The sequence below is a fragment of the Homo sapiens genome, chromosome 9 (genome assembly GCF_000001405.40).
Source record: "Homo sapiens chromosome 9, GRCh38.p14 Primary Assembly".
Lineage (NCBI taxonomy): Eukaryota > Metazoa > Chordata > Mammalia > Primates > Hominidae > Homo > Homo sapiens.
Window position 1 is genome coordinate 126,386,151 of NC_000009.12, and position 25,236 is coordinate 126,411,386.

The following is a 25,236-nucleotide window of genomic DNA, read 5'->3' on the forward strand; positions in this document are numbered from 1 at the left end:
AGGTTTAGATGCAGCTCTTTCCTACGAGTGCCTCAGGAATTTGCTCTTCCTAAAACCTCCTGGCCTTGAGATCTGATGCTCAGGGCTGAATGGCAGCCTGGTCCTGGGACCTGTGTGCACAGCTGCCCTCTGCTGGGTTATGTCTAAAGCATCTCCTGGGTTGCTCCTGCCTCACCAAGGCCGTGTCTGAGTTGAGTGGCTTTGAGGTTCCGCAGATGAAACTCCTTCCCAGGGGCCACACGAGTCCCTGCATAACCACTGGGGACCATTAAGTGTCACCTACTCTAATTAACCTGCTGTCATAAAGCTGCACGAGTCATTGTGTTAAATATGCATCTGGAAGCCAAAATGGCAAACCCACCACATGCATGTTCAGATTAATAGTCTGTATCTCTTTTCTTTCTTCCCAAGAGTCATCTGGGGAACGTGTTAGTAGATATGAAGCTCATTGACATCAAGGACACACTGCCTGTGGGCTTCATCCCAATTCAGGAGACGGTGGACACACGTGAGTCATCCTTTAGTAGCACTCATCACAATGAGCGTTTTCTTCCTCCAGGTATATTTGTAGGTGTTTTTCTATGTGCATTTTTCTTCAGAAACACTTTTGGAGGCCTTACTACATGCCCATGAACAAACCCTGCTGCTTTTGATGTGTGTCTGGCTGGGTTCTCCAAGGAGTTTGCAGAGTATTCTGGGTAGCAGCATGTAAATGAGCAGAACGTGCCTTTCTTTTAGAATGGTGCTCCCTGCTGAATCGGCTCACTGGGGAATGGAATGGTGAAACTATACAGTTTGTCTTTAGTCCTTCCTCTGGTGTTGCTGAAGCCAAGCTTGGCATAAGACCCAGAAGGAAGCGGAAAGAAAACAATCAAAAGACGCCCAGAGAACACAAGGCCAATAATGTGCCCATTTGGGGCCCGTTGAGCAAACAAGAAAAGTGAGAATCAAAAAGACTGCAAATTAAAGTTCATAGGTTCGAATTGGACTGAATATTCTGACCACTGAGCAGGTCCAAGCAGAAGTGAATCACTGAGGAATCGGCAGCGTCTTCAGGGTGTTGGAGCCCTTGGAGCTTCTTGACCCACACATGGGTTATTAAATGGTGCTGGAAAACCTCTGGTGATTCGGCTTCCTTGTTTTGGTGTAATTTAACTTACCTTGTTTCATTTTTAATCACTGGTCAGCCAACTTTATGGTATTTACAACAGTGAAGCAATGAATACAAAACAAATACAGAGAATCCTTTCATTACGACTCAGGGTTTATTTATTAAATTCTCTGTCTCATTTTCTGTCTCATACTTTATTCTTTCATAATTAGCCCCACTTTGGTCCCACTGTTTTTTGCTGTTTTCTTGCTAGCACTTCATATGATATGAACTAGAGTTTCTATCTTTACGCAGATCCCCTGCTGTTATTTTCATGAAACCAGCAGACCCCGTTGTATAGCATATTTTTATTTTCCTGATGGTCTCTTCACATTTCAACATTGGATTGCTTTTTGTCATTTATTATTTTATGTATTACCTGATAATCATAACAGCTGATATTTAGTATGCATTTACTGTATGTTCACCCCTGTGATAAATGCTTTACCTCCCTGATTTCATTTAATCTTCAGAAGACCCCTCTTTAGAGATGGACATTATTATACCCATTTCAGATATGAGAAAAATGAAGCACACTCACTCCTTAGGGATTAAAGAACTTAGCCAAGGTCATGCATCTGGAAGTGGAGGAATAACTAGAATGCTCACATACGTCTTACTCCAGCCACACTTTTAACCACGGCGGCACACTGGAAGAGCATGTGTATAAGCACCTTTTACAGATATGTTTTATATTAATGTACAGAGTTTTAAAAAATTAAGCTATAACTCACATACCGTGCAATTCACCTATTTAACATGCACAGTTCAGTGGCTTTTAGTAAATGCAGAGTTGGCAACCATTATGGCACATTATATCACCCCCAAAACCCATTTTCAGGATATCACCCCTGTACCCCTTAGCAATCACTCTCTTATTGCTCTCCAACCCTCACCTCCCCACTCCCCGCCAGCCCTAGGCAACCACTGATCTACTTTCTATGTAGATTTGCCTATTCTGGACATCTCATATAAATGGAATCATACAGCGTGTGGTCTTTTGTGACCAGCTTCTCTCACTTAGCATACTGTTTTCAAGGTTGGCCCACGTTGTAGGATAGATCATTACTTCATTCCTTCTTATCACCAAATAATATAACATTATATGGATATACCACATTTTGGTTATCCATTCAACTGATGGATATCTGAGTTGTTTGTACTTTTTGGCTGTTAGGAATGAGGCTGCTATGAACATTCATGTACAAGTTTTTGTTGGGCTTATGTTTTCGTTTCTGTTGGGTATCTACCTAGTCATGGAATTGCTGGGTCATATGGTAACTTGGTATTTTTGAGGAACTATCAAATGATGTTTCAAAGGAGCTGCACTGTTTTTTATTCCCACCAGCAGTGTCCTTAGATTCCAATTCCTCCACATCTTCACCAGCAATTTGTTATTGTCTGTCTTTTTGATTCTAGTCATCTTAGTGGGTGTGAAATGGAATCTCCTTGTGCTTTCTGTTTGCCCTTCTCTGATGGCAAATGATGTTTAGCATCTTTTTCTGTGCTTGTTGGCCATTTGTATTATCTCCTCTGCTTAGGATCTACAGTTTTCTCCAAGACTTGGATCACTTTCCTCCTTTTCCCCTGTGTTTTTCACAGTTTTAAAATTTGCATTGGTGTTCGTTTTTTGACAGTCAGTTGACTTCGAATGTTTTTATATTGATGTGCTGTGGAGCCACAATGGGTTTTCCATTCTGCATTTTCCTCTAGGTTAGTTGGACCAGTTCACTGAGGCTCTGTCCTGTCTGGGCTTGGGGCCCAGCTGCTGTGGGGCCCAGGGGTCCTGGTTGGGAAGTTTCTCCCTTGTGACTGGGAGTACACAGGTTGCTGTCCCAAGTGTGGACTCTGAGATCGGTCCTGGGCCCAATGCCAGGTGCCTTGTCACACAGGAGGGTGGGCAGCAGGGGGTCTCTTCATTTCTGGTTCTAGCAACATTTCCTGGAGCTTTTCACCCAGGGAACAGAGGAGCCCAAGCTGGCCACATAAGCCTTATGATCAGCTCTGTATCATCTGAGAGTATTCAAGACCCTGATTTTATACAGTCAGCCAAAAACAGGAGACTCCTGTAATTCATTGAAAATATGGTTTGCTGTAATCCATATAGCACTGAAAAACTGGAAGATGTTTGTTTTAGTAAAGTGCTGTGTACTTTCTCTGTGTTCATTAGCATGACTGAACACATTTCTATTGACTATGTATAATATGTTTACTTAAAATTAGGCCTGCTTAAGCATGTGTAATCAGTGGCTCCATCTCTTAACCCCGAGTTTGCTGCAGACGGAAGAATGGAGCCAAGAGCAGCGTGGCAACAGCAAGTGAAACACCCGGCGTTAGTTTTCTTTGTGTAAAGGTCTCTCTTCTTCGTGCTTTCTAAGGCCGATCTGATCAGCTGATAATCTTTGAAGTTGCAGAGTTGCCATGAGCAGCGCCCCCAACTCCCCAGGTTGCTGTCCCAAGTGTGGACCCTGAGGTTGGGTCTTGTCACACAGGAGGGTGGGCAGCAGGGGCCTCTTCATTTCCAGTTCTAGGATCATTTCCTAGATGTTTAGCAATGTTTAGGGTCTGGATTCAGAACGTTGTTTCTCTCTGCTCGTAGATCTGCTCTAGCCCTCAGTTTCTGTGCCTGAGGAACCCACAGTTATCTGACTCTTTAAAAAACAACCCTACCCCCCTCAAAATATAATAACAAAACAATTCCACTGATTTTCTTGTCCCCCTCCCCACTCCCGGCCCCTATAAGAAACCCTGGGCAGGACTGTACTTCCCCTCATTCTGTTCCTCAATTTGAATGTGCTGTTGAATGTCTTACTTCCTGCCACAGAATTGCAAGGTCTTGAAACCCAATACCAAGCACAGGCATAAATTACATGCTAGAGGCTTACTTGTCAATAATGACGGTAAGATCCCACACAGCTGTTCTTTACTGAGCACTTACTGTGTGCCAGGCACTGGGCTAAGTGGATCATATGTGTTGGCACAGTGCATCCAACCCACATCCCTGTGGGGTGGGTTTCATTAACTCCCTTTTACAGTTTACCAAGACTCAGAGAAATTAAGTAACTTGCCTGAGGTCACAGTGCCAGGAAATGTTGGTGTTGGGATTTCAACCCAGATCTGTCTGACTCGTGTATTAAATGGCCGCAGTTGGTTGAAACTCAGGTTTAAAAGCACAAACAAACACACACCTCCCGTTGGTCAGCACTGGAGGTTGCTAGAGCACCAACTCCTTACTCTAAGGCTTGATAAGTAAGAGAAAAGAATCACGTGCTTATCCTTTTTTTCCTATACAAAACTTATTTCAGGGAGACCAAATAGTTGATGAAGGAAAGTTATTTTTTACATATAGAAGGATTCTAGCTAAAAAATGCAGAAGGAGGCCAGGCGCGGTGGCTCACGCCTGTAACCCCAGCACTTTGGGAGGCCAAGGAGGGTGGATCACGAGGTCAGGAGTTCAAGACCAGCCTGACCAACATGGTGAAACACCATCTCTACTAAAAATACAAAAATGAGCCAGGCATGGTAACACGCATCTCAGCTACTCAGGAGGCTGGGGCAGGAGAATCACTTGAACCCCGGAGGTGGAGGTTGCAGTGAGCCAAGATCATGCCACTGCACTCCAGCCTGGGTGACAGAGTGAGACTCCATCTCAAAAAAAAAAAAAAAAAAGAGCAGAAGGAATGACAGAGTTCAAAAATCACCATTGTGAACCTTTAATAAAACATGGATCTTAGCAACAGTCATCAGAGGGTGAGAAAGTGCTCAGAGGATGGCAGTTGGGGAACTGTGTGACCGAGGTCCTGGGCCGACGCCAGCAGAGCTCAGCAAGAATGGCCCAGCCAGACTCTGGGCCTCACTATATGACAGCCTAGACTTACGTGTACCCCGGACGGCGTGCATGCCTAAAAAACCTAACCTGAGTCTAATCGAGGCTTTAGCTCTGCCAGCCTACAGGAGGCACAGGGGAGTGACCCGATTTCTCCAACCTGTTAGTGCCCTGAAGAAAAGGGAACAGGAGTGGTTGTTCCAGAGTCAAATGATCTGGGAGGCCTGACACCCAGAGGCAGTGTTTCAGCATCCTGGGGATCCAGATGCAGACAGACTGGAGAAAACGTGGATGTAGACTCTCTGTTGGATGATACTCAGGAATTCTGTTCGTTTTGTTAGGAATGGTGATGGCATGGTGGTCTTTAAAGAACAGTGTCCTGGATGCCTACTGAGGTATTGATGGTGACATAACGTAGTGTCGTCAGGGATTCATTTTAAATATCCAGCAAAACTGCAGGGGTGGGAGGAGAGGAAACCAGCTTGTCCATTGTGCACAGCATTGACACTGGGTGACGGGAACACGTGGATTCATTCCACTGTTCTCTCTGCTTTGGGGTATGTTTGAAGATTTCTGTAATAAAAAGAAAAGAAGTCCGTGTGGTGAAATGTGTTAATGCTCAGGGCGTCAGTGTGCAGGTTTCTGATGGCTGAGCAGTGAGCAGATTGTGGTTGCGGCTCTTAGAAGCCACCCAGATTTACTGCAGGGTGTGTGGTCCCCTTCTCAGCAGGGGGTGTCTGGGTTGGGTCCCACATGCAGAGCAGGGTGACTGCAGCCCCGGGGAAGGCAGGCGGCAGAGCGCAGCCCTTCTGTCCAGCAGCTTAGGTGACCTGCCACTTCTGCTGCCAGGAATAGGGCGTGACAGGGGATGTGGTTTTCAGAATAGAGATTCTGGTATCTCTGGAAAACTCATACCTTTTCTATTGTCCTTTCCTTCAGAGGAAGTGGCTTTTAGGAAGAAGAGGCTGTGCATTAAATTTATTCCACGGGATTCAACGGAAGCTGCGATTTGTGACATTCGGATCATGGGCCGGACCAAGCAGGCCCCGCCTCAGTACACGTTTATTGGGTGAGTCTTAATAACAGGACTGTCAGCTGCTTCTCTTCCCTGAGAGCACTCAGGCCACTCCAGGCAATGAGGTCCAAGAGATTTCCATGCAGCCCCCCAGGCTCTCAGCCATGGGCCTCTGTCAGCCCAGTGCTCCTCGCTGCCCTTCCTGCTCAGCTGCGGTCTCTCTGAGCCTCGGCTCGCACTGCTGACTCCACCTTAGGGCCTTTCCTCCCCTGCCCTTCTGCGCATTCAGCCTTGAAGCTCCTCTGGGTCCTTCCCCGACACCCTGTGATGCCACTGGCCTCAGCTCTTCACACTCGTTATTCACCCTAGGAAAGGTCACAGGGACCTATTTTGTACCACGGGGCCAAGGCCACTGGATGTGGATATAAGTGAGGCAAAGGCCGTGCTGTCACAGAGCTGATGTTCTAAAAGGGACAGACGAGCAATAAACAAGAAAATAAATGAGATAATTCCAGACAGTGAAGAAAGTGAAACACAATGATGGAGTGGGGGCCTCTTCCGTGAGGGGGTCAGGAAGGTGACACTTGAGCAGAGACCTGAATGTCAGGAAACCAGCCATGCACAGATGTGAAGGCATAGTCTTTGAGGCAGAGCAGAAGCAGAAGGAGAGAAGTGGGAATGAGCATGGCACGTTCTGGGAGCAGAACACAGCCCTGTGCAGCTGGAAGAGCCAGGGACAATGTTGGGACAAGGGCGAGGGTTGGCAGGACCTCCTAGGACATGGCCTGGAGTTTATTCCAAGCACGCTAGAAAGTCAGTGGAGGGCTCCAAGTCAGGAAGAAACATAAATATTACACAGCTGCATGATAATTCCCCAGTAAGCAGAGAACTGCTGAGGCCTGGGCCCGTTTGTGTCTTGTTCCTCCAGCAGCCTCAGCACTGAGCATGGGCCTGGCTCTGTTGCAGCTCCATAAATACTTACTACAGTGAAATCCCAGGGTTTCACTTAGGGCTCTGTTGATTGTAAGTGACAGGAAACCCAACCCAGTTTGGCTTGAGCAAAAGGAATAATTTATTGGCTGGCATCACAGAGGAGTTGGGGAGGCAGGACTGGCATGCCTGGAAGCGGAAGCTTGAAGGCCGGCACTGGGTTCTGGTTTCCCTGTCTCCCCCTGGCTCCGGTGCTGGGCTCTGTTCTGACATGTTTCCCCCTCGAGGAGGCCTGGTGCTACAGTAGCTCCACCTGCTTTTCATCCAGGTTCAAGTCCAGAGGCCAAGAGCAAGTTTGTGTTCCTGACAGTTCAAAAGAAGTTCTAGAATTTAGTCTCATTGGTCTTGATTGATCTAGGTAGGGTCATGTGCACCCTGGGCTTGTCACTGTTTTCTGGAAAATTCTTCCATTGACCAGGCCTGAGCAGGAAGTAGGATCAGCTCCATTGGAACTCAAGGACAAACCACGACTGGTGCTGCTCCTAAAATATGGAGGGGCAGTCAAAAGTCAGAAAGGGGGTGAGTGGATGCCAGCTGTCCAGAAGGAAATAGATGTTCACTGTCTTCAGTCAACTGAAATCCAGGTGTGCACTTTACTCGGTGTGGCAGATGGTTTACAGCCCCCTCAGCCATGTGCGTCTTCCCTGGCCAGGGCTGGCAGGGGCCATGTGTTTCCCTGTGGGCTCCCAGAGGCACCCTGTCCTCCTCGGCTTCTGAGGCCAGCCTCCTGGCTCAGGCCTGTACTCTGCTTTACTCTTGTTCATTTGAGCCCAGAGCCGCCTTTGTATCAGCCAGGGCCTTTCTGATAGCCTAGACCCGGTGAGACAGCAGATGAGCCCTCGTGGCATTTGCTTGAAGCATGCAGGGAGCAGGTACCACAGAAATGCAGAGTTTCACCTCGGTGGGTGTTCAGCTCTGGCATCTGAATGCTCTGTGTCAAGATCATGTGGTTAAGAAGGACTCTGTGATCATTCCCTTCCTACACACTCAAAAATCCCGTTTTGCAACACGGTTTACACTAATTATGTAAACAGGACTACAGGAGTAGGAAATAGTTAGAATAAACATACTTCAGGCACCTCAGAAGCACCCATTTACATACAAATGGCAGAAACCAGCAATTTAGTAATGAACTTTTAAATCTAATTTCAGTTGCTATGTGTATCTTTAACTACAAACTATCCTGTTGTAAAAAGATTCCATTTTTAACCAATTTAAAAATTTTAAGGAATAGATATGTACCAGTATGTACCTTGATAAAACCAAAGGCTTTTTTCCTTTATGTCACTTTGGAAATATTGCTATAGTTTTATTTCATCTTGGGGCAACAGTTCTTTTCCAGAGGAAGACAATTCCAGTGTTATTTTTAAGCAAGGAAAGAGAATTCAGTATTCAGAACTCTAAGTCACTTATTCTTAAAAGCGGGCACAGTTCTACATGTTACTTTGCAAGGGTTTGGGATTGTCAGTTGGGGAAGATAGAAACCTCACATTGCAAACAGCACCTCCAAAGCCTGGCAGCTGGAGGCCACGGCCCAGAGGTGGAGAAATCAGTGCAGTTCATTGGAATCACTCATCTAAGAAGACAGGATTGTGGTTTTACATGGTTCCTGGGGTGTTCTGAGAAGCTTATTAGGGGTTCCCACAGAATAAGTCATTTTCCATTTTTTGAAGAGATTATATTCCTCTACATCAGGTCCCAAAGATGCAGTTCTGTGGGCAACTGGGAAGTTGGAAACTGAATATGGTGAAAATGATCCCGTCACTATTCCTAGGAGCGTGGCTGTCTCCTCAGCACTCACGAGTGTGTGGTGTAGTAGGGGGCGGGGCTGTGGTGACTGCGAGGGAGGTCACAGGAGAGCTTATGCGGCGTCTGGGAGGCCCCTTGGTGTCCACTCCTAGTTGTGTGGTTCATGGGGCCTCGAGTTTTGTAGTTTGAAGATGACTCCCAAACTGACCCTGAGAATGAGTCCAACGGCAGGTGACACCCAGCTGCAAGAGGCTGTATCCTGAGATTGGAGTGTGTTATAGAGTAGGGGGCTAATTCTTCTCATGGTTAAAAACCAGCATCTCCCTATCTGTCTCTCCTAATTGCACAAAGGACTTGATGTGGATTATCACGTCACACTCCACAAGGAAATGGCAAAACAAAAAGAAGTTTGGAGAAGCAAGGAAAGTACCAGTTGGAGTAGGAAGGCAAGCTTGGGAAGGGTGATGCAGGCGGCCTTGTCCCGAAGGCCTGCCTAGATGGAACGGGTCACCCTCGTGTGAACTATGACACCCAGAGCACAAAGGAGACGGTGGAACCCATTTCACGTGGAGGGCAAGAATTGATTCCCTGGTGTTTGAGGCCATGACTCTTTTAAATGAATTGGTTTGCTTTGTCACTCAGGTAAATGCTTTGTGCTAACCAGAGCCATGAAGATTTCTCTTTTTTCCTAAAGGGAACTGAACAGCATGGGGATCTGGTATCGAATGGGCAGAGTACCAAGAAATCATGACTCATCTCAACCCACAACGCCTTCCCAGTCATCAGCTGCCTCCACCCCAGCCCCCAACCTTCCCAGGTGAGGCCTTGTCGGGGTGTCTTGCGTTGTCCTGTGGTCTTAGGTCCCTGCACAACATTTTAGAACACCACCACTTAGTGTCTGCTGAAATACTGCAAAGTACAGCTGAATAATTGTAGAAGCAATATATCTTTAGAGGAGATTTTTAAAAATCCACTTGGAAATCTTTGCATTACATGAATGCAAAGGCCATTCTATAGTCTATTTTGTGCGTGTTCTGCAGGCTTCTAAAATTGCAGATTATGCAACTTAAAATTGGCTCCCTATTCAAAAGAGCTGCTAGCTACACACAGACACGTGCTGTATAGCCATGGGGTTGGGATCACTGGCCTTAAGGTCAAATTCCTTCTCTGTCTTGGCCAGCAACTCATTTGAAACCCAGGAGGGTAGGTGAGTTCTTATATTCTTCATTTTCATATAATTTCTTTTTCCAATGAGCTATAAAGTAAGAAATGGGTAGTTTGGGTATGAGAGAATAGTGAGGAGTTTTTCAGGAAATGCTAGTTTTAACAATTGTCTCCGCAAAGAAACTTGGGTGAGCCAACTGTTTGCTCTGCAACTGATTTCAGTCATAACAGAGGTAGTAACAGTCTCTACACTTTCTGCAAAAAGAATCCTGTCAAATAAAAATCCTGTGCATCACTAGGAGTAAACTAAGGGCAAGGAACAAACAGCACTGATGGATTAAGCTTGAGAAAGGGATTGCAAAAGTAAATAAAACAAGAACGGTGAGGCAGCAACACTTAGGGATTGACATAACGTAAATGAGAATGGATCTCCAAGCTTCCACGTGGGTGAATAGAGATGAACAAAATCTGTCAGGAACCGGACAGAAGAGTCACCAGTAGGTCTTCCTGGGCCATCCACAATACAGCCTGCCCTCCGGGACATACCACCAGCTCTCTGTACTCTGTTCCTCTGTGCCAAGCCTCCGTCTCACTTGGAAGAATGTGCTGTAATGAGGCTCCAAAGCCCTGAGGACTCTGTCCTCTGGGACATCCCCCTATAAAGACAATCTGGTCCTTCTCATGACAGTTTCACAAACCAAGAGTGGTATTTAAACTTAACTACCCCTGGAATTGCCTGAAACTTTAGAAGTAGTTTTCAGTTTCATTTGGCATAAAAAGATAGGAATCTCTAATAAGCCTCCCAGAGTTGCAGGGTGAACAGTTGAGTCTCTGTTGGGTTCAAGAGTGTGAGGTTCGCACTGCCCATCAGCACTTGTTCCTCACTTCTGAGCCAGAGCGCTGTCAGCTCCGCCCTGGAGGGCACTGCTGAGGGTCACTGTCTCCTGTGCTCAAGGCTATATCAGGTGTGTCACCTGTGCTGGGGAGTCAGCTAAGTCCATCACCTGTGTGTCGGGGTCCTCCATCACCTGTGCTGAGGCCCATCACTTGTACTTGGAGCAGCTCAAGTGTGGGCTCCTTGCAGAGGCTGGAAAGCCCCCACAGGAGCAGTTGCCCTGAAGTTGTTACAGCTGCTCCCTGCTGACATCATGTGGTCTAGAAGGGCCCAGAAATGGGCACCACCTCAGGCAGGTTTTGACTTTCTGTGGTTAAAGAAAGAACACCAGTTCTCTCAGATAAAGCAGAGAGAGCTCTCAGAAGCCTGCTGGTGACTGTGAGAGCAAAGTCACTTGCACCTGAAGCAAGACAGCCGAGAACACCGAGCCACCGGCAGCCTGGTGGGTTTGGAGGGTAGTGCGTCAGAACCAGATGTTTATAAGGCTTATGTATTTTATCACCTCTGCTGTACAGTTTATGGTTTACAATGGCTGCAAGGAAATCGGATCAGTTTTGTTTTACTTGCCAAATAAAACAAATGTCAAAATAGTCAATATAAAATGTATTCTAATTTGGCTGAGTTAAGTCAGCCAATATGCAACAGGATAATTGAATGTTCATTAGTGCTTCCAAGTAAAAGCCATTTGTCTGTCCCAAGTTCTCCTGTGCGGTAATTTACAGGTAGGATGCACACCTATGTAAGCCTCATCCATCAGGGTTTTTTGGTTTTTGTGGGGTTTTTTTGTGTGTTGTTTTCCTATCCAGTATCTTTGATTTATTTTAAAATGAAATGTTGATTATTCATTCAAATTTTCCATTGAAGACCTAGGAAAGGATGAGTATGCTGTTTTATTCCTTGAGGCTTCAGGTCTCTACACTCTCCAGAGGAGGAATCTGATCACCTCCCCTCTGGTGGGGAGCAGTGGCTGGGGCTTGTGCTCCGAGTGCTGGGGGTCTACCAGGAGCCTATAGGGTAAGGCAGGCCCCTCAGTGGGGCCTGCAGGGCTGCACACCAGCTCCGGGATTTCCTGTCTTCCCTTTCCCAGCCAGAGCCCCAGACATTAACGTGCGCTGGCAGCCTCCTCCTCCCCTGGCTTCTGCGCCTTTGCTCCCGGTGCTCCCTGCACATGAGGTGTGTTTGACAGGTCTCAGCGCAGAGGACTTCTCTCCCGGGAAGCCCTCCCAGAGGCTCCTGGGCTGGGCCTGTGCTGGGTCTTCTTCTGTGAGCGCTTCCGGGGCATCTCGAGCCCGTGTGGTGGTGAGGGCATGTGGTGAGCCTCCGAGGAGCTCCCCAGCGCCTACCTGAATCCAGGCACGAATTCAGTTTCACCATAAATGCGTCCCTGGCAACCCCTCCAGACTACTCCCTGGTCCCTGAGCACTGCGCGGGTCTTTTCCTATGGCGAGAGTAATCCAGGCTTGTAGAAAATTGGCAGAATGTAGAAAGTATGAAAAAACAGGAATTCCATTTCCCACGAGCAGATGCTTATAACCTTTTGTTATATTTCCCTCAAGTCTTTTTCTTGTGTACTTTTTACATAGGTGATATCATATCGTGTAATAGCAAGTCTGCATCTTGCTACTCTTTTCTCAGGTAGCCTTAACCATAAACCTGAGAACCACGTCCAGTGCGGTCTTTGTGTGGCGTGGATCGGGCCTCTGGGAGCGCGGTGACGCAGCGCCCTCTACTGCCCAGCCGTGGCGGTGGCGGGGAATGCGGTTCTGAGCCGGAGCTAGTGGCAGGCTCTTTCGCCGCAGAGCCCTGGCCCAGGCCAGCCAGGAGGACCTAGGAAGCGGTGGGTCACAGATCTTGCTGCCTTCTTGAGTCTGTATTCCTCTCCAAAGCCAAAACCATGTGCTCCGCCTCCATTTCTTGTGTCATCGCTCAGATTTCAAAGAATTTCCTGCCATTTTTTGGAATGCCGTTCATTCCCAGCTTTACTTCAGACAAAGGTGGATCTTTGCACCGTCTGTAGGCCATCACCTGAGGACCTCGTGGTTCTAGCAGCACTGCCTTCTCTGTCCAAAAGCAGGAACTGCCTCTAGAAGCAGGAGCTTCCCGCAGAAGCTCCGTTATTGCAGAAAATGCTGTGGTGTCACCGGCTTTGGAGTTGTCCTTTTGGAGCAGGCAGGTCCCCAGGGAGAGGGATGCTCCTGGGCTGTATCCAGTGAGTTGGTGGCTAAGGTGGTAGAAGGTAGCTTGGCAGAGCTCCTCTCCCTCATACAGTGATGCTTCATCTCACATACAGACATCGCCACACACATCTCTTGACTGTCTTCTAGTGAAGAAGGGCAGCCACTTCTTCTGGGACCCAGAGCCTCTCCATATCTCTGGCCGCAGGCGCTCCATCCCCTGCCTGCCTATGTCATGCACGTCGATCAACAGGAGAGAGCTGGCCTGGGGACGGAGGCACAGTCCCATCTCTGTGGCCCTCTTTGGGGCTGGGCCCAGCTTTGTGAGTCAGCCTTGGGCATGTGATCAGATGGTGGGGTTTCTGATTCAGCTCTGTGATGCTGTCTGGGGCAGGGGGCCAAGAGAGGAAACACCTTCCTGGCCTCTATCAGAGCAGCCCCTCCACCGTCTGTCACATGCAGGGCGTCACCTGTTTCTGCTGGGAAGAAGAGGTTCCGCTGCTGCTGGGACAGAGGTTGGGAAGAGCCCCAGGAGGCAGGTGGGCTCACAACCGCTGGAGCACCAGAAGTCCCCAGTGTGATAAGGGAATGGCTCTGTGTCGACCCAGGAGGAGTCCCCTGGTGGGCTGCAGCCCTCTAGCTCAGCAAGCAGCAGAACCATGGCTTGATAAAGACATCAGAGGCATGCTTATCAAATTTGCAGATGATGCAGAGTCATTAGGGTGAGCTGACGTGCTGAATGATAGAATCAATACTCTGCATCTCCTCTACAGCCAGAACAACCTGCTGGAGCCATGGGAGGCGATGGGCGCAGGCGGAGAGGGCCCCCGAGGTTCAAAAATCCATCACACAGGAGCCAAACTGAGGCCTGGCTTAGCAGCTAAGTGTGTGAAATGGCGGGGGTCGGAGCGTGGGTGTGTGGAGTACAGCCTGGTGTGCACAGCGGGAGGCCCTGAGTGGAGTCCTGCTCCTGGGGCGTGTGCACTGCCTCACACCACCAGGCAGAGGTTACCCAAATCCAGTGTCAAGTTTGAGGAATCCAGTTTGGAGCTGAGTAGAGACAGGCCAGCCTGCTGCAGATGTCTTAAGGGTCAATGGCAGGAGAGAAAGTAGAAGTGTTTCCAGGTGGGGATGGAGGGGTGGAGAGATGGCTGGGGGCTCCAGAAGGCAGAATTAGGTCAGGTGGACTGAAGTTACAAGGAGATAGATTTAGGCTTAACACTTTAAAAAAATCAGTAAAGACAGCTTCCCCAAGGTGAAAATTCTGTGGCATCAAGAAGCTGACCTGAGGGGTGATGCGCTCCCAGATGCTAGGGGTGGTCAGACGGCATTTGGATCCTTCAGACTGCAGGAGAACTAGAGCAATCAGTGTTTCTTAAGCCGTATTTAAGGAACTTGTCATATTCCCTCTCCCCACCTACAGAAATTCAGGTTCGGCAGAACTACGTGTTAGGGTCACAGACACCTTGTCCAGAGAACTTCAGGGCCCTGCAGTGGGCAGGGAGGGCACAGAGCAGTGGGCCTTGGTTTCAGAGGTCCTCAAGCCGTCGTCGATGCTGCTTCTGTATCTGACTTGCAGCCATTGCCTTCCTCCACTCACCAGTGCCGAGGTCAGAGGAGGAGGTATGGATAGTGGAGAGTTGCTGCTGTGCAGCCTCCCTGAGAGGGAAGGCTCAGAGGGGCCTCCCACAACGTCCGGGGCCCTCCCTTGGTGATGCGGACACCGTGTCTCCGTCCAGGGTAGGCAGGCATGAGCTGACGATGGGTGGTATTCTGTCCCTTTCAGAGTCTGTCAGAAACATGTAGTCTGGCCTCCAGCTGGCTAGGATTTTCGGGACATCTCATGTTTATGTGAACATCCATCCTGCGGGGGCTCTCCTAGAAAATCTGCAATGTGTGGTTCCAGTAGCCTCACCCCACCCTTCCTGCTGACCTGGGCTGTCCTCACCATGGTCCTGAGGGAGAAGCTGCTGCCCAAACTCTCCTCCCCACAGACCCCAGGCCATGGGCACATCCTGTGACCTTTCCCTAACACTGTCTCTCTTGGGGGAAAGGGTTATTTTCCCACCCGAAGTCACAGAGCATTTCCCAGCCATTGAGTTCTGACCGGCAGCCTCCCCTGCAAGATGCAGCTCCCAGGAGCCTCTTGGAGTGTCAGCCAGGCCTGGGTTGCCCGTAGGAGGTGACGTGTTGCTCGCTATTGCAGTCATCTTCCTGTAATTTGTCAGCTCCCAGCAAGTTGTCAGTCACAGGTTCGGAAGTATGTTTCTTAGTGACAGACATAATTGTACTTAACTTTTTGCATGGATGTTATCAATCTGTGACAGATACTCTGGGAAATGGGGCATTTTGATTGCAGAAGATCTGTCACATGCATTTAGTCTTCCTCTCAGGGACACCAGGATTCAGTCACAACTTTTGCATGTCGATGTCAGGTTTTGAGAACATAGATCCTTGCTGACCTCAAAAATCGTTCCATCACTCTGATCCCAGGGCTGTCATCGGAAAGGTTAATGGCCCTTCCTAGAGGAGAGGAAAAATCATGCCGTGGTGATCTAGAATTCAGGCCGTGCTGCCCAGGCTTGTCCCCCATCACATCATTGTCAGAAGCCCATGAGCGTGCCACGCTCCGTCCTGGCCTCTCCAACCCCGCCTTCCCTCTGGACATGGGGATCAACTCCATTACTTTCTGATTAACTCGCAGAGTAAGTCAGCAGTTGGGGCGGAGCCTTAGGTCACTGGCTGGAGCCTTGTTGTCCACACTGACAGCCTCAAATCCTTCGGCTGCCTTCTGTCCGTTTTCAATTGTAAGATGGCCCTTGTACCCCAGATGACATGTCACCTGTCCTGTTGTTGCAGGACTTGAACGAAAGGCCCAGAATCCCACAGATCAGGGAGGCTGAGTTTTCCTTTTCCTGTTGAGGTGTTTACCTACCTGTTCAGAGTGGCAAAAGGCTTGGTGCTGGAGGCATTTGCCTGTGAGAAGTTTCTCCCTAGGGTTCAGTAGGGGAAGGCTCAGTGCAGAGGATTGGAGTTGAAATCTGTGGTTTCATGTAAGGTGCATCATTTATGAGAGGGGTTCTGTGTATCCCAGGTGATTCCAATGACTCTTTTTGTCCCCTAGTAATAAATTGTGACATGGATTTTGAGCTCCACTTCCATAGTGGCAAGAAATGGTTTGGGGGCAGGTGAGCTAAGCAATGGAGCACTCTGTCCTGGTCCCATCAAAAGAGGGCTTGGGGCGCTGGGTGTGGTGGCTCATGCCTGTAATCCTAGCACTTTGGGAGGCTGAGACGGGAGGATCACTTGAGTTCAGGAGTTCAAAACAAGTCTGTGCAACATGGCAAAACCCCGTCTCTACAAAAAAATCAAATACAAAAATTAGCTGGGTGTGGTGGCACAAGCCTGTGGTCCTAGCTACTCAGGAGGCTGAGTGAGAGGATCACTTGAGCCCGGAAATCAAGGCTGCAGTGAGCTGTGATCATGATTCCTCCATTGCATTCCAGCCTGGGCGACAGTGCAAGACCCTATCTTAAAAAAAAAATGGAAGAAGAAGACGAGGGCTTGGGCCCTGGTTTTCTGGCTTGGGGGCCTTCAGACACTTCTGCAGGTCATGTCCAGGCATAACTATGGGTCTGGCTTCACTTGGAAAAATTAGATTTCCTCTTCCTTCACACTAAAGCCACACATGCTTTTTGTTTGTTTTACCTCTAAAGACAGAACATACATTTTCATTGTCTTTTAAGATGAAGACTGTAGCGCAGGGTTCTTTACACAAGGAGCACGGACGTCAGCACGGGGGTGTGAATGATCCCGCTGCGCAAGTGGCACCTTCCAGCCGAAAGGACCAGCAGCCAGCCCTGTCTCAGAGACGAGCCCTCTGGAGGGGTCGAACCTGAACACTAAATCAAAGATGGATCTGGGGTGGGCTTCTGGGGCTCAGGTATTGTTTCTGTAAATAGCCTGCATTTACATTCTTTGCCTGTAACCTTAAAGTCTGTGGTGACCTGATAACTGCACTGGGGTTTTCAGACACACATATGTTCCTTTTTCCTCAATCGAGAACTTCACTGGCTTCCTGTTATCCGACCGCCCCCCACACATCCTCTTACATTAATTAGGTGAGTCTCCTCTTGGCTCCGGGGCACACCATTCTTATTCCAAAAGCATCTCTGCTCTGGCCTTCACCATGCACCTCAGTTTGTACCAGCCCCTTCCCTCCTGGAAGAGTTAGGCTGGACTCCAGAATGCTTAGGATTGGCCCTGGCCAGCCCCACCCCAGGCCTATAGTAGCCCACATCACTGCTAGAAAGCCTGGCCTGCGTCGTTTTCCTTCTTCTCCTCCAGTTGCCTGCGTCATACAGCCTGGCATCTCACAGTTCCCTGTCATTGCTGCGTGTATTTCTGTTTGATCTTACTGACTAGATTTGCTGCTTACTGATGACAGAGATCCTCATGTTTTCCTTTTTCTCCTTTAAAGCCTCAAAAGAGGCTAGTCACACAGAAATAGCAATGATGATCATATTGCATCACCGTTCATCAAATTTGAGCAAGTACTTTCAACCATGTCATCTCATTCCATGCTCACAGTAAGTGCTCAGTGGAAAATGTGTGGCCCCAAGATGGTAAAGAACTCTGAATTCCAGGTGGCTGACATGTGTTAGGCACCCAGAAAGTATTTATTGGATGCAGAAAATGAGTTAGTTTAATACATAGGACTGGACATCATATTTTATGCATCGCCCTTCCATCCGTCCATCCATCCAGCAGAGACTTATCATGCATTTATTAGGTGTGAGGTACTGTTCAAAGGCTTTACAAATAACTCCTTTAAATCTTTTTTTTTTTTTTTTTTTTTTTGAGACAGAGTCTCACTGTCGCCCAGGCTGGAGTGCAGTGCTGCTATCTCGGCTCACTGCAACCTCTGCCTCCTGGGTTCAAGCAGTTCTCCCACCTCAGCCTCCCAAGTAGCTGGGACTACAAACATGTGCCACCACGCCTAGCTAATTTTTTGTATTTTTAGTAGAGATGGGGTTTCACCATATTGGCCAGGCTGGTCTCGAACTCCTGACCTCAAGTGATCCGCCTGCCTCGACCTCCCAAAGTGCTAGGACTACAGGCGTGAGCCACCACACCCGGCCAACTCGTTTAATTCTAATAATAGCTCTGTGAGTCAGTTACTATTATCAGCCCAGGTTTAAGTTGAGGAAACTGAGGGTGAGGAGGTTAAATCCCTTGCCCAAGGTCATACAGTTAGCAAGTGTCAGGGCTAGGATCTGCACCCAAGCAGGCAAGCTACTGTTAGTGTGCAGACTGTCACGAGGCCCCCAGCCGTGAAGCCTCTCATCAGGGAGCCAAGCATGTGCCTGGAAGGGCTGGTGGGTAGGTGGGGTGCCCATTCAGGTGGCCCCGCCATCTTCCTGTGCAGCTTCTCCAGGCTCCTGACCAGCAACTGGTGAATGAGGACTTCCCAGGGCGTGTGGGTGGGGAACTCATCCCACAGAGGCCCCTCTGGTCAGAAACCGCCTAAGCGGTCTTAGGGAGACGTGTGAACTTTGGCCGGTGTCCAGCACACTTGCACTGTGGTCGCCGACTGAGGGAACATGTGGAGGCCAGCCCAGGAGGTCCCAGCACCACCATCCCTCCCTCGCTTTGAAGCGGGCGTTTAAGCAGGGTTACGAGCAGTGTGGTTGATTCTGGTGATCGTGAGAGTGGCATGAAAGAGACCTACAGAGCGAGGTTATTTGAATATCTTCAAAATGCTCGTGAACAGAGCGGCGGCCGCTCTTGGACCCGTATCAAACTTAGTTTTGGTGTCAGAGTAATTTTGAAGGGGAAATTTCATTAGAATGCAGTTCGGTATTGTTAGATATGAATGATGAGTTTAGGCTGAGCAATACACTTTTTGATATTAATTTTTAATACAGCTTCTTGGGAAGTCAGAGCTTCTATTTAATGAAGAATTGACGATTCGTCAGTTCAGCTCCCGCTTCGGAGCTGGCCTTGGCGTTCGCAGTCTCATGTCAGATTTTTGACAAGGTATTTGCTGCTTGTAAATGTGTTATCTTTGTAATTTTGGTGAATTTCTGAGTGTCTTATTTTTCTCAGTGGTCATGGTGGTTATGTTTGCTTTTTTGTTGTTATCGTCCCGAGAAGCAGGGTTAGAAATGGGAAATTATTCCCTTCTGAGTCCAGCTCGCGAGTGCACGAGGGCTCTTTGTGCAGTTGGTTTCAGCGCCAGGGTTTTGAGAAAGGCTTTTTTCAGGATTATGAAAATAGTTTTCTGTGTGTCAGAACAGATTTATCAGTTCACTTTAGGGTCGGTTTTGTGAACCAGACCATTTAGAGAAGGATATTTTACCTTTTATCAGAGTGGAAGCTGACAGTCTATTTGCAGGTAGCTCTGTGGAATGTTTCACCTGGGTCTCTCAGTGTAAATCTAGCTGCCAAATAAAGTAAAAATGGGCGTTAAACCAGCGATATTTCCCAGGATTTTACTACCACCCCCTACCCCCCGCCCCAACTATGCTGCTCTATTTCGATGCAGAGTTTCAATTATTAATTGGGATATTTAATAAAATCCTTTGCTTGCAGTTACTTTTAAAAGGCCTTTTGAGTTTATTTGGGTTCAGTTTTTGCCAGTGGGTAGGGTAGAATTCAATCTGAATATCCTTCATGAGCAGCAGATGTTTTGTTTCCAGTTGAATAATAATATTAATAATTATTATTATTAGAATAAATACAATTATTATTATCATCATTATTATTTCAGCTGTAATTTTCTGGGCTTCTTGTGCCAGGCATTGTGTAAACGTTATATATATATGTACACACCTACACACACAGAGATAGATATATATGTAGTTTTAATCTTTATAACCATGTTGTGAGGTGAATAATTGTGTCCTCATTTTATTTTGTTTTGGTTTTGTGGGGGGTTTTTTTTTTTGAGACGAAGTCTTGCTCTGTCACCCAGGCTGGCGTGTTGAGAAGACTGAAGCTTGGAGAGATCATGATTCATCCAAGGGCAGAGAGTTAGGATTTAGAGGGGCTGTGAGCAGAGGAGAGGTCTCACCATAATGCCCTGCCTGCCTTCAAGGAGCCTCAGGGCTTCCTGATGGAACGCTGACCCTCTGCTGTGAGCTCGACCTTGCATGGGACCAAAAATCACCGTCCAGCCTGTAGCCCACATTCCACCTCCTCTTCAGTCATGGCTGTATTTTGTTAAACAAATTGTTTTCCACAGCTTTTGAGATGGATTGGGCAGGGAGGAGACAAGTGTTGCCTTTGGCTCTTTGATAGAGGATGTGCTGCATTCAGTCCAGACTGCAGCTTGCCCTGCGCTCTCACGCACACAGTCCTTTATGAATCTGACTTTGGCAGTCCCCCGACTCTTGAATTTTCGAAAAGCGGATGTTTTAGTAGGCTGGAAGAAGATGAAAAGCTAGCAGTGCCCATATGTTCCTTGTTTTTAAAAGTAAGGTCAGCGAGGTTTAGAGACTCTTTAAATATTTCAGTTTATAAGATTAGACTAGATCATCTGGAATGGAAGTGTGGTGCCCCTGGTCCCAGACTTGGCTTTTTTCTTCATTTCTTTTATATGGGAGGTCGGTGTTTTGGCATTGCAAGGTTCAAGTGTAATAAAACTTAAATGTAGTGAATAAATACCATGATTTGGAGTGTTGCTGTGGCTATGAAAGTTAGTTTCCTTTCTTCATCTTTTTTTTTTTATTAAGTAATCAGTGACTTGAAAAATAGCAGATTGGTATAAGGATTGTAACTTAAGAAACTGAAAACTCCCATGCTTTAAAGGAGTATAGGCTTTGATATTTTTCTGCGGAAGCATTTTCTTCACTCATTTAAATCTTCCTAGGCTGAGATTAAGCATTCATCCTGAAATGTACACTTGAATAGTTTGAAATTCAACACAAGTGTATATTTTTAGTGAAGACATTTTCTCTTGGGTTATCAGTGGTCAGTGATGTAGTGGTGGTTTTGCTTGACCCCAGGGTATTTACAGAAGCCTAGGATCTGAGCAAATATCTAGCCCAACCCCAAGTTGGGACTAGGTCTCACTTATTGGTACAGCACACCTAATGTTTTATGCCTTTCACCCAAAAAGCGTTTTTACGGCCAGGATGTGCCCGTAGTCACCAACAGTAACTGCTGGGAGACACGTCAGGGAGAGGTAGCTGTGGTCACTGCCTTGTACAACAGCCAAAAGCCCAAAGCAGGAGGGACCCTGGCCTTCTCCCAGCACACAACGAGTGGGAGCTCTGTGTGCTGGCCGGCATTTCCTGTCACGTTCAATAGGACACGTTCACTCTTCATACTTCTTCAATTCTAAATTTCAGAAGTAATTTGTCACTTTAGAGGAGGGCGTCATTAATAACCATTATTTAGAACTGTCGAGTCTTCCTCTCTGTGAGTGTCTGAGTTAAGCATCCCCAAAATTGGCCTTGTTGGTGGCAAGCAGTGCCCCCACACTGACAGATTGAGACTACCCCACCCCCACCGACGCCCTCACAACCCAGTTCTTCCCCGTCTGCCTTTAATCACCGCGAGGGGGGCGACAGGGAATGGCTACGGCATGTCCTCCTGGAATTCATTAGCGTTATTACCAAAGACCGTGTTGTAAATTGAGATTTTTTTTAACTGCTAGGAAAAAATTTCTCCTTAACTATTTCATTTTATTGTACTTAAAAAAAAGAAAGAAAGATTTTTCTCATCAAACTTTTGGAGCAGAATGGTTCAGAAACCTGACTTCAGATCCCACTGGGTGTGGACCCTGAATTGTAAATGAAGCTGAAATCGCATCTGGTTACCCTTGAGCTCTGGGGAGAGGGCCAAGGAAGAACCCCCAAACCTTCCGATGGGTGGTTAAGAAAAAGAATTGCCATTCAATGTATGTTAATGCACATTGTTATTCTTTAACATTAAAATTCCACTAAAGTACTAATAATTACTGTTAATATCTTTCGGTGGAAACTTACAGTAAAGGAGCAGTAGTGGAAACAGTATTTAAGGGCGAGCTGCCGGCATGATAAGAATGCAAATAAGCGTTATTAGCCTAATGATTTTGCCGTCGCCATGGTTGTGCGGCAGCAGTGTTGTGAATATGTCATCCGGCACCCGTGAATTTGGAAAGTGTGTCAAAACACAACTTCAATTAGTTTGCTCTAATTATGGCTCTGGAGAGTTTGTAACTACATCACTCCTCATTAAAAGAGATTTTCTTATATGGATTAATGTAATATACAAAGGAAAGTTTCAAAGTTCCCGATGCCATTCGCTCCCCCCACGCAGGCCTGATGGATCCGGATCCGGGGTCTGTGCCTGCAGTGGGCCCAGGCAGGGGGCTGGGGCGGCTCCCTCCTTCTGCCTGGCGATCCACTTCCTGCTGAAAGTGGCCACTGCAAATGGAGCCTTTTCCACAAGAGGGTAAGTGAACCCGTCACAGGCTTTTAAGGAGAGATGGCTAACCTGAAACTATCAGGATGTCCCTCCTTTTCGGCTTCTCGGTGGAGGCTGGAAGCAGAAAGGTCTCTGGACCTACCGTGGTCCAGTCCCATGTGTGCACTCAGCCCTTGGCCGTGTCCTGAGTCCTTCGGGGAGATTATGTGGCAAAATGTGTTGTTTTTGGTCACGTAGAATCACATAGTATCTATGAAATGTTAGTAAAAGTCTTTTCAGATAGCAAAGGCGTACATTAAGGAACGTAATCACCAAGCTGATGTATAGTTCTAAATGCTATCATTGAGCCTTGGCCATCTTGAAAGAAGAAAGAGTTCACATTTTTTTGTCCTGTTGCAAACATTCCCCTCCCCAAGGACACCTGTCCCGCAGCGCCCACCTTCTCGAGTCCTACTCTGCGGGGTTTGGATGGCCACCTTGTCACCTTGCCTCAAATCGGCCTTGTGGGACTGTTCCTTGAGCTTTGCTGCCCCCACCTCCACCATTCTGCTGAGCCCCTGGCCACAACGGCATCGTGACTTCCATTGTGGGGGGGGGCTCAGTAATGCATTTTGAACCCAAGAGTTAAATTTTAGAATGCTGATTGAAGAGGCCTGGGTTTTGGTTTTCCTTTGATTTAGCCACACGGTGCAGATGATCCAAAATACAGCCTTGAAAACATTTTTGTGGGCCTTTGCGTGTTCTCTTTGTCATCACTTTTGGTGAGTAACTCTGTGTGTGTGTGTGTGTGTGTGTGTGTGTGTGTGTGTGTGTGTGTGTCCCTTGGGCCTTCTTTACACCACTCACAGGCGGTGTTACTTTGAGTGAGTTTTATCACTCTCTGAGCCTGTTTCTTCCTCTGTGAAATGGGGATAGAAATGCCTCCTTTGCAGGATTTGTCATGAGAATTAAATTGGGGGGGGACACAGAAAGCACCACCCTGGTGCCCAGTGAGCACCCATGCATGCTGGCTTTCTGTCTGTGTCCAGGGTTCAATGCAGAACTTAGCCTAAGCATGAGCAGGGCATCCCCTTAGACCTTTCCTTTGCCACCACGTGGCTCCCGCCTGCTGCAGTTGCAACTCCAGTCACCAGCACCCCTCCAGCACCCCACAGCATCAGAGACTGGGCACAGGCAACCTCCCCTGCGGAGCTGGGACTAGAATGGCTGTGTTCACAGGTGAGCAGCTGGGAAGGGGTTAAGATAGTAATTGTGTAAGTCTTCCAGGCTTTCTCCCAGTTCTGCGATAATTTGATGAAGAACTTCACCCTAATTAAATATTCAAATTAGGAATAAGTGTCAATATGGCTTCCCATTGCCTGGAATGATGATTAATTGTATTCAAAACTCTAGTGGCCCACTGTAATCTAAACCTAACCGTTGTTCTTGATTATTTCTGCACCACACTTGCCATGTTTTTGTTTTAAGATTTAAACTAGTAATTGATTTGCCATATGCCGTCAAGCTGCACGTACTTTATGCATTTAGGAACTTGGGGAGTTTGGAATTGTGATTTCCTTCATCTTCCAGTGGCAGCTTTTTTTTCCCCTTGTCCAATGCACAGTGATTTGGTTTTGTGTGTGTGTGTGTGTGTGTGTGTGTGTGTGCACGCATGCACGCGCATGCATGCATGTGTGTATGTGTTGCCCATGAGGAAAACCCATTCTACAGTCAGCCTGGTAGGTTGGAGTTGCATTGGTCGTGGCAAATGGGCTTCCTGAATGGAAAATGAACAGGTCTGTGTTTGCACTTACTTTGTGCCCTGTGTCATCTCAGTAAAGCAACATGGCATGGTGGAAAGAGCATGAACGCACATCCTAGCCCAGCCATTTTCTTCAGCTGTGTGACTTTGGGTGAGTTACTTAACCTCTCTGAACCACTTTTCCCCCACATATAGGGTACTACTTCCCTTGCTGGGTTGTTTACATTAGAGATGTGTATGAACATGAGGAATGGTGCAAGTGCCCAGTGAGTAGTAACTGCCATAGTCCTAAATAATTACAGGAGTGAAAATTCCAGGAACAAAGCCTTCACGCGGGCCTCCCTGGAAAGCCCCTCCCAGCCATGCAAGTCAAATCCCATTTCCTACCTCTCTGACTCCCGGAGCCTCCGTTGCCCATCCTTGGCTTTGTGACATCTCTTGGGCCACTGTCTAGACTCTTGAATTACTATTTCATTGCTCGGGCCTCTTCTCCCCAGCCACAGTCTTTTCTTTTTGCAGGTGGGACCATGGCTCCCATGTCCCTGGATACCTCCCAGGGCCTAACAGAGTGCCTGGCCTGTAGTAGACTCTCAACAGATGTTTGTTATTTTGGTTATTTCTTTTTTTTTTTTTTTTTGAGATGGAGTCTTACTCTGTCACCCAGGCTGGAGTGCAATGGCGTGATCTCTGCTTACTGCAGCCTCCACCTCCCAGGTTCAAGCAATTCTCCTGCCTCAGCCTCCTGAGTAGCTGGGATTACAGGCACACGCCACCACGCCCGGCTAATTTTTATATTTTTTAGTAGAAACGGGGTTTCACCATGTTGTTCAGGCTGGTCTTGAACTCCTGACCTCGTGATCCACCCGCCTTGGCCTCCCAAAGTGCTGTGATTACAGGCATGAGCCACCACACCCAGTTATTTCTTTTTCATGCCACTGTTTTAAAATTGAAGCATATAACCATATTGTCCTTTATGGCCTATCTTTTGATATTCAGAGCTTTTACTTTGTGATATAGGAGATTTATGTTCGTGTTTCAGTTGACTTATGGATAAATTCCTAAAGGGGAAGATACACGTTTCATTTGGTTTCTTAAACTGTCTCGGTGCCAGGCAGTGC

General features: G+C 47.5%; 1 protein-coding gene and 1 long non-coding RNA gene across 9 annotated transcripts in view, besides 1 other annotated feature; one reads left to right on the plus strand and one right to left on the minus strand.

The window, feature by feature from the left end:
- MVB12B (multivesicular body subunit 12B) overlaps positions 1-25,236 on the plus strand; it is a 180,212-nt gene that overhangs the window by 59,322 nt on the left and 95,654 nt on the right. For 7 of the 8 annotated variants that reach the window (NM_033446.3, XM_017015275.3, XM_017015277.3 and 4 more), the window contains 3 exons: positions 412-508; positions 5,916-6,045; positions 9,425-9,547. In NM_033446.3, coding sequence (NP_258257.1) covers positions 412-508; positions 5,916-6,045; positions 9,425-9,547 — 350 coding nt within the window. Of the gene's footprint in view, positions 1-411; positions 509-5,915; positions 6,046-9,424; positions 11,488-25,236 lie in introns of those variants that run through there. The other variant, NM_001011703.3, reaches the window with a different exon arrangement.
- Positions 12,419-12,478: a silencer, noted in NCBI's record as "silent region_20287". NCBI's record gives its function as "represses an Ori minimal core promoter by ATAC-STARR-seq in GM12878 lymphoblastoid cells {active_cell/tissue: GM12878}" and the evidence as "EXISTENCE:reporter gene assay evidence [ECO:0000049][PMID:35858748]".
- On the minus strand, positions 21,625-24,354 carry NRON (non-coding repressor of NFAT). The gene has a single exon (NR_045006.1). It is a non-coding gene; the product is annotated as a non-coding repressor of NFAT (long non-coding RNA).